General features: G+C 43.3%; 1 protein-coding gene across 8 annotated transcripts in view; it reads right to left on the reverse strand.

Moving 5' to 3' along the window:
* The window catches only part of COPS3 (COP9 signalosome subunit 3), a 34,631-nt gene that overhangs the window by 9,707 nt on the left and 11,282 nt on the right, over positions 1 to 13,642 (reverse strand). For 5 of the 8 annotated variants that reach the window (NM_001316358.2, NM_001316356.2, NM_001316357.2 and 2 more), the window contains 4 exons: positions 11,563 to 11,655; positions 8,480 to 8,659; positions 5,644 to 5,784; positions 3,979 to 4,152 (listed from right to left, as the gene is read on the reverse strand). In NM_001316358.2, coding sequence (NP_001303287.1) covers positions 3,979 to 4,152; positions 5,644 to 5,784; positions 8,480 to 8,659; positions 11,563 to 11,655 — 588 coding nt within the window. Of the gene's footprint in view, positions 1 to 3,978; positions 4,153 to 5,643; positions 5,785 to 8,479; positions 8,660 to 11,562; positions 11,724 to 13,642 lie in introns of all 8 variants that reach the window. The other 3 variants (XM_047436961.1, NM_001316355.2, NM_001316354.2) reach the window with 2 other exon arrangements.

The following is a 13,642-nucleotide window of genomic DNA, read 5'->3' on the forward strand; positions in this document are numbered from 1 at the left end:
ATTTTGTATTATAAATGTATAATCTATTAAATATAATTGAAAAAATAACATTCATCATTCAAAATTCAAAGTTAACATTTTTAAACAAATGGGGGAGTTAAATAAAAGAGGCTACACACTTGTGATGAGGGAAACCAGTGTTTACCACTGCTCTCTTGGGATCTGATGAAAATGACCCCTTTCAGAAACATATTAAAAGAGCTCTATTCTTAATGGCAGCTGGTAATATTTACAACAATGGCATTTTCAGAGCTGGGCATATTAAAACCCTCATCTTGAAAATTCCTTTTTTTTTTGAGATGGAGTCTTGCTCTGTTGCCCAGGCTAGAGTGCAGAGGCGCAATCACAGTTCATAGCAGTTCAAGGGAACCTCCTGTTTCAGCCTCCTGAGTAGCTGAGACTACAGGTGTGCACCACTGTGCCCAGCTAATTTTATTGTTTTATTTTTTGTAGAGATGAGATCTTACTTAGTTGCCCAGACTGGTTTCAAGCTCCTGGTTTCAACGTATCTTCCTGCCTCAGCTCCCCAAAGTGCTGGAAGTACAGGGGTAAGCCACTGTGCCTGGCCATAAATTCTTGATGAGCCAATAATTTTAAAACCTACATATACTTTAGTTCAGAGAATAGTACCCAAGAAATTGAAATTACTGCTAACTTTAAGAAGTACACAAGTAGTTTAACACAAACAAAGACTCAAAAGTCAACATTCTAGCCTGACCAACACAGTGGGATCCCATCTCTACAAAAAATGTAAAAGTAGGCCAGGCGCGGTGGCTCACACCTGTCATCTTAGCACTTTGGGAGGCCAAAGTGGGCAGATCACTTAAAGTCAGGAGTTTGAGACCAGCCTGGCCAACATGGCGAAACCCCGTGTCTACTAAAAATACAAAAATTAGCCAGGTGTGGTGGTGTGCACCTGTAGTCCCAGCTACTCAGGAGGTTGAGGCAGGAGAATCGCTTGAACCCAGGAGGCAGAGTCTGCAGTGAGCAAAGATCGCACCACTGCACTCCAGCCTGGACAACAGAGCGAGACTCAGTCACAGAAAAAAAAAAAAAGAAAAAATACCAAACAAACAAAAGAGCAGGGTCAAGAATAGCACGTAGAGTATGACCCCAATTACATATAACTGGGAGAGTCTATGCATACACATAGAAAAGAAACAGAGAAGAGGAACCTAGAAAAACATCTACTAGGCCGGGCGTGGTGGCTCATGCTTGTAATCCCAGCACTTTGGGAGGCTGAGGCGGGCGGATCACGAGGTCAGGAGATCGAGACCATCCTAGCTAACACGGTGAAACCCCGTCTCTACTAAAAATACAAACAATTAGCCAGGTGTGGTGGCGGGCACCTGTAGTCCCAGCTACTCGGGAGGCTGAGGCAGGAGAATGGCGTGAACCCGGGAGGTGGAGCTTGCAGTGAGCCGAGATCGAGCCACTGCACTCCAGCCTGGGAGACAGAGCAAGACTCCGTCTCAAAAAAAAAAAAAAAGAAAAAGAAAAAGAAAAAGAAAAACATCTACTAAAATGTTAACACAAAGTAATATTTCAATGGGAGAGGTGGCAGATTTAACCCATCCCCAGCTGCCTTCCATCCCAGCCATGCCATCACCTACTGATACAGTCTACCTGTTGAGACTTCTTTGGATTTTCTAGTAAGAAAAACTTGGCTAGAAAAATCCTTTGATGTTTCCCCGTTCTTTTCATTTTAGCACTGGGACATCATGCCAAAAATGGAGCAGCCACTATCACAGATGTAACCTTCTGACTAGCTATGTCCTTTAAAGACACGGTTCCTGCCCACCATACCTTATGGTAGCCCTCCCCAGGTCCCTCTGGCAGGCAGTGCTTGTGAGCTCAGTGTACCACAATCCACCACTTCGTGTCAACATACGAAGGACCCAGGACCTTGATGACTTTGTGAGTCACTACCCCAGCCCTGGAAAGACCATTTCGAGTTGAGACTCTTCCTGTTTGATCAAAAAAAAATTTTTTTTGAGACGGAGTCTCACTTTGTCCCCCAGACTGGAGTGCAGTGGTGCAATCTCGGCTCACTGCAACCTCTATCTCCTGGGTTCAAATGATTCTCCTGCCTCAGCCTTCCAAGTAGCTGGGATTACAGGTATGTGCCACCACGCCCAGCTAATTTTTGAAACCGTTATTTAATTTTCATTTGCTATTTTGCAATTTAACATCTTTTGTAACATGTACTATCTTTTATGTTTGTTAGCATTTGGGTTCTTTTATCTAAACTTCAATTACTAGTCACAAACAGAGTTTGTGTTTTTAATGGCAGCTGTTTTTTAATGGCTACCTCTTGATGGCAAAAGACAGAAATTTACTTAGAATGGTTCTGTTGGCACTTGGGCCAAAAAGAAAATTTTATGGAGAGAATTAGGCTGCTTGTTATTTAAGTCTCTTAGATCCTGGTCTTTTAAACCTGTAGGTCAAGCTGGTTTTTCTGGCTCACAAGTTACACTGGTTTTGATCTTTGACTTGATTTCTCTTTCACGTTCTTCATTTTTCTCTCATAAAAATTAACTTTTTACAAATTCACTACTGATTTCCTTCTATTCTAGAAGCTATGGCTAGTCTTTCTAGAGTATTTGGAAGGATTCTTTTTCTTGCCCATTGACCCTCTCCTCACCTTCCTTCCTCTTCTCCTTAGGATCCTTTATCCTTGTATGAGGTCTGCCCACCTCAACGGCCACCCCGACCCACCTCTCTTCTCTAGCTTCTCCATTGGGCTAGGGGAAGTCACCTCTCCCCTAAGTCCTCACGTAGCCAAATCCATCAGCCTTTTCCATTGCTGGGTAGCCTAGCAAAAAAACAGCTACCCTATTCTGGTTCCTTGGCTCGTCCCCAACCATGCATCACCATGGCTGACACAAGGCAAAGGATGTGCACAGGAACAGATGCACTGTGTTCTCAGCAGCTGTGAACTATGCATATCTGGCCAGACTTCCCAAGAGAAAAAAGCAATCCTCTATTTGTTGAGCTACAGGATTCCTGTAACTTGCAGCCTATACCTTCCTAAAACACAAAAAATTTCATTTTTCATTATTTTTCTGTACTGTTTGAACGTTTGACATTAAGCATATTTTCTATAGTCAAAACCTAGCAGGTTATTTTCATCTTGACAATAAAAATTATAGAATTGGCTTACATCCTAGAAGAAAATAAAAATTATATAATTGGCTTACATCCTAGAAGTCAATTGCACAAAGTTTGTACAACCCTGGCCTAAATGGTAATGTCCGAGTAGTACTATGTTCACATAAGGTGTTCTCATTGGCTGGGTGCGGTGGTTCATGTCTGTAATCCCAGCAGTTTGGGAGGCCAAGGCAGGTGGATCACATGAGCACAGGGGTTCGAGACCGCCTGGCCAACATAGCAAAACCTTGTCTATACAAAAAATACAAAAATTAGCTGGGCGTGGTGGCTCACACCTGTGGTCCCAGCTGCTTGGGAGGCTGAGGTGGGCAGATCACTTGAGCTCAGGAGGCAGAGGGTGCAATGAGCCGAAATCACGCCACTGCACACCAGCCTGGGCAACAGAGCAAGGCACTGTGTCAAGAGAGAAAAAAAAAAAATGTTCTAATAGAGATCAGCACAGACAGAACAGACAGGTTGCAAGGCTGGTGACAGTGCACTGAGGTCTGCATCATTAGCATCCCTCATCTGCCCTGCTGGAGCTGCTGACCTCTCTGAGGCTGCCTTTCACTGTCTCCCAATGTAGCCTTGTCTCCTACCTTTCTTCCTCTTCACCTGCTCCAAATACCCTGCTCTAGCCCTGAAAAGACCAAAGGTATACATCAAATTCTTTCTAAGAAGCCAATCACAAGAGAGTTCTCTCTCAGCACAGAAATCCTGCCATGCTTTATCCCTGTACCTGCTTCCTCAGCTCTGAAAAGGGAGAGAAAGGGAAACATGGCCCCCAGGGGGTCAGGAGCTGCCCTGTGAAGGTGGCACTTTCCTCACCTTTGTTAGCCTCTGAATATTCTTCTTATAAAGAGATGACAAGCATTGCTTCACCAGCCCCATGTTGTTATCGCGAGTGAAGGTTTCACTGTGCTTATTCACCAGGTTTCGGAGTTCTGAGGGGTTGTTGGTTGAATACACTTGTGCTAACTCGTGGTATGCATTGCTAAGAGGCTAAAGATGCAAAGGAGGGAAAAAATTCAGATTAAAACTTCAGAAGAGGCCAGGTGTGGGGACTCACGCCTGTAATCTCAACACTTTGGGAGGCCGAGGCGGACAAATCACCTGGGGTCAGGGGTTAAACACCAGCCTGACCAACATGAAGAAACCCCGTCTCTACTAAAAATACAAAATTAACTGAGCGTGATAGCACATGCCTGTAATCCCAGCTACTTGGGAGGCTGAGGCAAGAGAATCGCTTGAACCCAGGAGGTGGAGGTTGCAGTGAGCCAAGATCGTGCCACTGCACTCCAGCCTGGGCAACAAAGCAAAACTCCGTCTCAAAAAAAAAAAAAAAACCAAAAACAAACAAACAAACTTCAGAAGACTCAAATGTGTATAGGAAGCAAAAACACACTTACATACTATTTTTTAAGCAAGTATATCCCATATTGTCAGGTAACTACACACTGTTACCCTACAAATTATAATTTACCCAAAGCAAATGCCTGGTTTTTAAGACCAGGGATAGAAAGTCACTATGGAGTAATTCATTTTCCACAAAATTTTGTACTACAGACCAAGTAATAACACAGCAGGTGAAAACCCACTGAATTTAGTGAAGGCACACGTCTTCATCAGTGCTTCTGTTTTTCTACTGATAAATCATATAGAGAAGAAAGGAGTCAAAACATTCATCATTCCCAACTCTCCCTCTCTCTTTCTCACACCTCACCAGATGCAACAGGACAATCTGCTACTTCTGCTAGCAAGAAGGAAGACAGGGCCGGGCATGGTGGCTCACGCCTGTAATCCCAGCACTTTGGGAGGCCGAGGCGGGTGGATCACGAGGTCAAGAGATCGAGACAATCCTGGCTAACACGGTGAAACCACATCTCCACTAAAAATACAAAAAATTAGCTGGGCATGGTGGCACACACCTGTAGTCCCAGCTACTCGGGAGGCTAAGGCAGGAGAATCGCTTGAACCCGGGAGGCAGAGGTTGCAGTGAGCTGAGATCACGCCACTGCACTCCAGCTTTGGTGACAAGAGCAAAACTCCATTTCTAAATAAATAAATAAATAAATAAAATGAAAAATATAACAAAACAAAATAAAGGCCAGGCTCAGTGGCACACACCTGTAATCCCAGCACTCTGGGAGGCAGACGCAGAAGGACTGCTTGAGGCCAGGAGTTCAACACCAACCTGGCCAACATAGCGAGACTCTGTCTCTAGGGAAAAAAAAAAAAATCAACTGTTATAGGAGCTTAAACATCTATAGCTGTAAGTATCTAGAGCACAAGTTTGAAAACGGGTTCCTGAGAAATATTCCATTCCAATCAGGTAATGAGAATGTGTAGCAGACATTCAATAAATGTCTGCTCACCTGAAGCTGCTAGGAGAGCTAAATCAGTATAAAACGAAGTTACAGAACTGTATCATTGCAATTTCTTTATATACTCAACATGCTCACGTAAGAAATCAGTTTTATGTAAAAAACTTACCTTAATGAATCTACCCACAATTTGAGATGTATATTTTGGTAGCTGTTGTACTTTGCCAAGTAATATCAAAGACACTAAAATATACTTTTTATATGATTCCAACATGATATGACTGACCGCCATGGCAGGAGTAGTTATAGCCTAGGCAAGAGAAGAATGCTTGCTGTAAAGAGAACATACCACAGTAGCAAACAACAATCAACCACATGTATCACATTAATTATAAGTCAATAATACTTTTTAAATGTCCCATTATTTTTATAACAGCCTTATTGAGATAGAATTCATTTTATTTTTATTTATGCATTTTTTAGAGACAGGGTCTCGCTCTGTCATCTAGGCTGGAGCGCAGTGATGTAATTATGGCTCACTGTACCCTCAAACTCCTTGGGTTCAAGCAATCTTCCTGCCTCAGCCTCCTGAGTACCTGGGACTATAGGAGTGGGCCACCATGCTTGACTAATTTTAAAATTTTTTGTAGAGGCCAGGCGCGGTGGCTTATGCCTGTAATCCCAGCACTTTGAGAGGCCGAGGTGGGTGGATCACGAGGTCAGGGGATCGAGACCAACCTGGCTAACACAGTGAAACCCCATCTCTACTAAAAATACAAAAAAATTAGCCGGGTGTGGTGGTGGGCGCCTGTAGTCCCAGCTACTTGGGAGGCTGAGGCAGGAGAAGGGTGTGAACCCAGGAGGCGGAGCTTGCAGTGAGCTGAGATTGCGCCACTGCACTCCAGCCTGGGCGACAAAGCGAGACTCCGTCTCAAAAAAAAAAATATTTTTTGTAGAAATGGAGTCTCACTATGTTGCTCAGGCTGACTCCTATGTTGCTCACTATGTTGTTCAGTCTTGTACTCCTGAGCTCAAGCAATGCTCCCACTTCAGCATCCCAAAGTGCTAGGATTACTGGCATGAGCCACCACGCCTGGCCACTTTCTTGTCTTTTTATTTTTGAGGACGAGTCTCTGTTACCCAGGCTGGAGTGCAGTGGCGCAATCCCGGCTCACTGCAACCTCCATCTCCTGGTTCAAGAGATTCTCCTGGCTGGGCGTGTTGGCTCATGCCTGTAATCCCAGCAATTTGGGAGGCCGAGGCGGGCGGATCACGAGGTCAGGAGATCAAGACCATCCTGGCTAACATGGTGAAACCCCATCTCTACTAAAAATACAAAAAATTAGCCAGGTGTGGTGGCAGGCACCTGTAGTTCCAGCTAGTCACGAGGCTGAGGCAGGAGAATGGTGTGAACCCGGGAGGCGGAGCTTGCGGTGAGCCGAGATCGTGCCACTGCACTCCAGCCTGGGCGACAGAGCAAGACTCCATTTCAAAAAAAAAAAAAAGAGATTCTCCTGCCTCAGTCTCCTGAGTAGCTGGGATTACAGGCGCCTGCTGCCAGGCCCAGCTAATTTTTGCATTTTTAGTAGAGACATTTTCACCATGTTGGCCAGGCTGGTCTTGAATTCCTGACCTCAGGCGATTTGCCTGCCTCGGCCTCCCAGTGTGCTGGGATTACAGGTGTGAGCCACCTCACCCAGCCTCTTGCCTTTTCTTTTTTTTTTTTTTTTTTTTGAGATGGAGTTTTGCTCTTGTTGCCCAAGCTGGAGTGCAATGGCACGATCTCGGCTCACTGCAACCTCCGCCTCTTGGGTTCAAGCAATTCTCCTGCTTCAGCCTCCTGAGTAGCTAGGATTACAGGCATGCACCACCATGCCCAGCTAAATTTTGTATTTTTAGTAGAGATGGGGTTTCTCCACGTTGGTCAGGCTGGTCTCGAACTCCCGACCTCAGGTGATCCGCCGGCCTCGGCCTCCCAAAGTGCTGGGATTACAGGCGTGAGCCACCGCACTCGGACGCCTCTTACCTTTTTAACACCCACTCATCCTGATATTTCAAGATCAAGTTTGCTCATGAGTTAACTATATTTGGCTACAGCAATGATAATGCATCCAGTGGCTACGAAGTGCATTTTTATAATTTTCCGAATGCGTAGTCTTAAAGAGAAGCCACCTTGAAGATTTAACCTGACTAGACACGTGCTTTAATGACACCATCTCTGCCTACTGGCACCTTATGGTGGCCCTCCTCAGGTCCCCTCAACAGGACACATCAACCACTCATTGTGGTATGGTTCAGAGCCACGGATGTGTGTACATGTATGCATGTGTATTATGTATTAGAATTCCAACTAAACCGAGCTCTCTGAAGGTTTTAAATATCCTTTATTACTTAATACATGCTATGAACTAAATAGGAACTTACGAACATCTAACTAATTTACCTTAAGTAAAGTGGTTTATTAATCAATATTGTGTATCTCTTTTTCAGAGTCTGAGTAAACCTCCAGAATATTCTACCAAATTGTGTACTATGTTTCATTACACAGACACAGAAAGGGTGGGAGGGACTTTTACTGTGTACTCCTTTCTACCCTTTAAATTTTGAATCAAGAGAATGTTTCACTGATTAAATAAAACTTAACAAAATACCACACATGGTTTTAGAATAAGACACAACCAAGATCACTCAGTTCAATCTCTTCCTTATATGCAAAGGAAGCTATAAAGGTCAAGAGATGTCATAACTTATTCCAAATCAGATAAGGTATAAGTGCAAGCCTAGATTAGAACCCCCAGACAAGTGCTCTTCTATGCACTGGCGCTGCTCCTCAACTTAGGGATCAGGTTACCACTATTTACATGATCACAGAGAAGTAGTCTCTGAAAGGACCAACACCTGAAACGGAGGCCCTGGGATCAGACCACTCTAGCCACAAACCTATGGGAGCACTTTTTTGATCACACAAGTTCAGAACAACCTCAGCTAATTTTTAGAGAGATTACCTGTTCATAAAAGTAGAGAGCTCTTTCAAAGTTCTTCAGCCCAGTATAGATCATCCCTCCATAATAATAGTAACATAAAAAGTGTTTTGCATCATAGGCTCCATTCTCTTTACAGATATCCATCATATCCACGTCAAGATATGGAAGGGCAGGCTTAAAGCATTTTGCTAGCAAACAAAGCTGTGAACAAATTGATATTAAATCATCACTTTAATTTTACTTAGGCAGGTATTAGCAGAAGGAGAAAATTCATTGATTCCAGAAATTTCCAAATAATGTAATTGTGTTTTACATTTTATTGACTAAAATTATCTAAATGTCAACACATTTCATGTATCTGCTATCTGAAATGCTTAGGACCACAAGTGTTTCAAATTTTGGAATATTTGCAGAATACATACCAGTTAAGCATCCCTAATCTGAAAACCTGAAATCCAATTGCTCCAATGAGCACTTTGAGTGCCAAGTTGGCATTCTAAAGATTTCAGATTTTGGAGCATTTTGGGTTTCAAATTTTTGGATTGGGTTTCAAATTTTCAGATTAGGAATAGTCAACCTGTACTCCATTTTCTTAGCCATTCAGAAAAAAACAGCATTACCTTTTTTTTTTTTTTTGAAATGGAGTCTCACTCTGTCACACAGGCTGGAGTGCAGTGGCGTCATCTCAGCTCACTGCAACCTCCACCTCCCGGGTTCAAGTGATTCTCCTGCATTAGCCTCCCGAGTAGCTGGGATTACAGGCGTGCACCACCACACCCAGCTAATTTTTGTATTTTTAGTAGAGACAGGGTTTCACCACATTAGCCAGGCTGGTCTCGAACTCCTGACCTCAAGTGATCCGTCCACCTTGGCCTCCGAATGTGCTAGGATTACAGGCGTGAGCCACCTCACCTGGGGGAGCATTTCTTTATAAAAAGCTAAACAGCTATAAGGCCAAGCATGCTATAGATGATTGAGAATAGAGAACTCTACAGACAAGACTCACTTATCTCTTAACCTATCCCTACCCATCTGATTAGAGGGAAAAAGAGTGTGTCCTCTTTCTTTACTGAACTAGTGGAATAGAAAGAGACCAGCATGGTGTGATACAAGTAGAAGTGGTTCCTTTAATTAATCCTTTAGGTAAATACAGGGAATTGTGCAACTCAAGAAAGCAAGCCCTTAGAACAGTTATCTAGCTAATGGAGACGCAGTGTAGACATGCGTACAAACTCACTGAGCTATACACTTTAGTATTTTACTGTCTATATGTTGTACCTCAATCACAATTTTTTTAAAACATTAAAAAGCACATCTTCATATGAAACTAGAACATGTGTTTGAAATAATCCACATACCATGTTATTCTTGAAGGAAACAATGTAAATATCCCATGCAGACTTCTAAAACCATCGCATACTCATATTATAGAATACTCCGTACCTGTAGAGTACTGCTACAGAATCATCTCCAAGATATGTTAAATACAAAAAGCAAGCTACATAAGAGTATGCATAGATTATTACAATTTGTGTAAAAAATGAGAAAATATATATTCGTATTTGCTTTTATGTCCATAAAAAGTTTTTGGAAGGATACACGAGAAATAACTAACATAGTTTCCTTTGTAGAGAAGAAATAGATGGCTAGCAAACAGAATGGGAAGGAGACTTCATTATATACCTGCCCTTTTGCCTTCTGGACTTTGAACATCGCAAAATAAGATAAATAAATGAGGCCAGGCACGGTGGTTCACACCTGTAATCCCAGCACTTTGGGAGGCTGAGGTGGGCGGATCGCTTGAAGTCAGGAGTTCAAGACCAGCCTGACCAAAATGGTGAAACCCCATCTCTACTAAAAATACAAAAATTAGCCGGGTGTAGTGGTGCACGTCCACAATCCCAGCTACTCAGGAGGCTGAGGAAGGAGAATTGCTTGAACCTGGGAGGCGGAGCTTGCAGTGAGCCTAGATCATGCCACTGCACTCCAGCCTGGGCAACAGAGCAAGACTCCATCTCAAAAAATAAAAAAAAAAAAGATAAATGAATAACATTTTAAGGTGTAAGAAGTTAGCTATGTTAAGTCTCAGGTTCCACAATTTTTTTTTAGTAGAGATGGGATTTCTCCATGTTGGTCAGGCTGGTCTGGAACTCCGGACCTCAGGTGATCCGCCCGCCTCAGCCTCCCAAAGTGTTGGGATTACAGGCGTGAACCACTGCACCTGGCAGGCTCCACAATTTTAAAAAAATGATTCGGGATTTTAAAAAAAGTTACAGGCCGGGCACAGTGGCTCACGCCTGTAATCCCAGCACTTTGGGAGGCTGAGGCGAGCGGATCACGACGTCAGGAGATTGAGACCATTCTGGCTAACACAGTAAAACCCCGTGTCTACTAAAAATACAAAAAAATTAGCCAGGCGTGATAGCGGGCGCCTGTAGTCCCAGCTACTCGGGAGGCTGAGGCGGGAGAATGGCGTGAACCCGGGAGGCGGAGCTTGCAGTGAGCTGAGATGGCGCCAGCCTGGGCGACAGAGCAAGACTCCGTCTCAAAAAAAAAAAAAAAAAAAAGTTACAACTAGGGCCGGGTGTGGTGGCTCACACCTGTAATCCTAGCACTTTGGGAGGCTGAGGCGGGTGGATCATGAGGTCAGGAGTTCAACGCCAGCCTGGCCAACATGGTGAAACCCTGTTCTACTAAAAATACAAAAATTAGCTAGGCTTGGTGGTGGGTGCTTGTAGTCTCAGCTACGCGAGAGGCTGAGGCAGGAGAATTGCTTGAACCCGGGAGGCAGAGGTTGCAGTGAGCTGAGATTGTGCCACTGCACTCCAGCATGGGCGACAAAGTGAGACTGTCTCAAAAAAAAAAAAAAAAAAAGTTACAACTATTAATTACCCTATCTGTTCGACAAGCTTACTAGTTGAGCCCCATCCTACAGTTTGCATCCAGCACCCGCCTGAATGTAATAGATGTACCTACATATTCCAACTTCTATAACACATCACAATATCGCCAACTTGCCTGTGTTTATCAAACCCAATGTTGAGCAAGCCCATAAACAACCTACACCTCTGACTTGGTGTGAATCACACACTTTGGTTGCTTACCTGGCAGAGATCAGCATGTATTGAGGTCAGCTGGTTTGTATTCATCTGCATCTTGTCTATGGCTTGCTTAAGGATGCCAATTCCTCGCAGGGGCTGTCAGAAATGACATCTCTTTCAGATAAGTTCTCAAAGATGGCAGCACATTGGATCTTATGTTGTCACTTATAAATAAAAAATAACACTAATTGATAGGTTCCTTTAAATAGCAATATGAGGTTTCCATACTCTTTCAGGAAATTTCTGTCCCATTTAAGTCAGAAAACTTTTCTTAAGCTGTTTCTTGGAATTTTTAGATAACTCAGCACCATTTTTTAAATCATAAAAAGCTTTTATTTTTACAATGAAGATCAATAATCAAAAACAGTATTACTTTCTCAACAGTTTATTATATTAACATCTAAACAAATGAAAACTTTCCAAATCACTTATTATACAAGAGACAACAGCCTATGCTTAGGAAAATTACTTGTGGCTAAGGGTGTTGGCATTTTCCCATAGGGCAGTCTACCCCTTACCTGGTAGTAAATTACTACCAAAACTAACACCATAGATTTCAAAAGGACTGTTTCCTGCCCTGATTATAAATAAGAAGACCAAGTGTCAAGTAAGGCATAATCAGTTTTTGGCAGACTAAAATATAGTCTCTTCCAAAATTGCTGGGCACGGTGGCTCACACCTGTAATCCCAGCATTTTGGGAGGCCAAGATGGGTGGATCATGAGGTCAGGAGATCAAGATTATCCTGGCCAACATGGCAAAACCCCATGTCTACTAAAAATACAAAAATTAGCCGGGCATGGTGGGATGTGCCTGTGGTCCCAGCTACTCAGGAGGCTGAGGCAGGAGAATCGCTTGAACCCGGGAGGCGGAGGTTGCAGTGAGCTGAGATCGCGCCACTGCACTCCAGCCTGGGCAACAGAGCAAGACCCCATCTCAAAAAAACAACAACAACAACAACAACAACAAAAATATATATATATATATGTGAAGAGACTAAAAATAGCTCAATAACTTACAGCTTTTTCAAAAACTCATGATTTTTCTTAACCATCTCTTTCAAACATGGTTACTTAGTACTACAAAATAACAACTGGTTCTATTTTCAGCCTCTTTCAAACCACTAATCTTAAATTTACTTTCAAATTAAAAAGAAACACCTGGCTGGGTGAAGTGGCTCACACCTGTAATCTCAGCCCTTTGGGAGGCTGAAGCAGGCGGATCACCAGAGGTCAGGAGTTCTAGAGGCTAGCCTGGCCAACATGGCAAAACCTCACCTCTATTAAAAATACAAAAATCACTGGGAGGCCGAGGCAGGCGGATCGCCTGTGGTCAGGAGTTTGACACCAGCCTGGCAAACATGGTGAAACCCTGTCTCTACTAAAAATACAAAAATTAGCCGGGCATGGTGTCAGGCACCTGTAATCCCAGCTACTTGGGAGGCTGAGGCAGAAGAACTGCTTGAACCCAGGAGGCGGAAGTTGCAGTGAGCCGAGATTGCGCCATTGCACTCCAGCCTGGGTGACAGAGCGAGACTCTGTCTCAAAAAACAAAACAAAACAAAAATCAGCTGGGAAAGGTGACATGCGCCTGTAGTCCCAGCTACTCAGGAGGCTGAGGCACGAGAATCGCCTGAAGCTGGAAGGTGGAGGTTGCAGTGAGCTGAGATCACACCACTGCACTCCAGCCTAGGCAACAGAATGAGACTCCATTTCAAAAAAATAAATAACTAAATAAATTTTTTAAAAATCCACATTATAAATTATGTATTATAAAAGATAAAGAATGAAATAACTGTTCAGATTAAGGGACACTAAAGAAACAAAGCAGTCTAATGCAATCCATGGTCCACGGTTTTCTTTTGCTATATAATATATAGTACACTGTCCAAACAGCTAATGTCCTTTTATAGCAAAAGACAGTCCTTTTCACTGGGGGAAAATCTAAATGGGGTCTGTCAATTTGTTGATGCATTATATTAACGTTCATTTCTGGGCCGGGCGTGGTGGCTCACGCCTGTAATCCTGGCACTTTGGGAGGCCAAGGCGGGAGGATTGCCTGAGCTCAGGAGTTCGAGACCAGCC

The sequence above is a fragment of the Homo sapiens genome, chromosome 17 (assembly GCF_000001405.40).
Source record: "Homo sapiens chromosome 17, GRCh38.p14 Primary Assembly".
In the NCBI taxonomy this organism is placed as follows: Eukaryota; Metazoa; Chordata; class Mammalia; order Primates; family Hominidae; genus Homo; species Homo sapiens.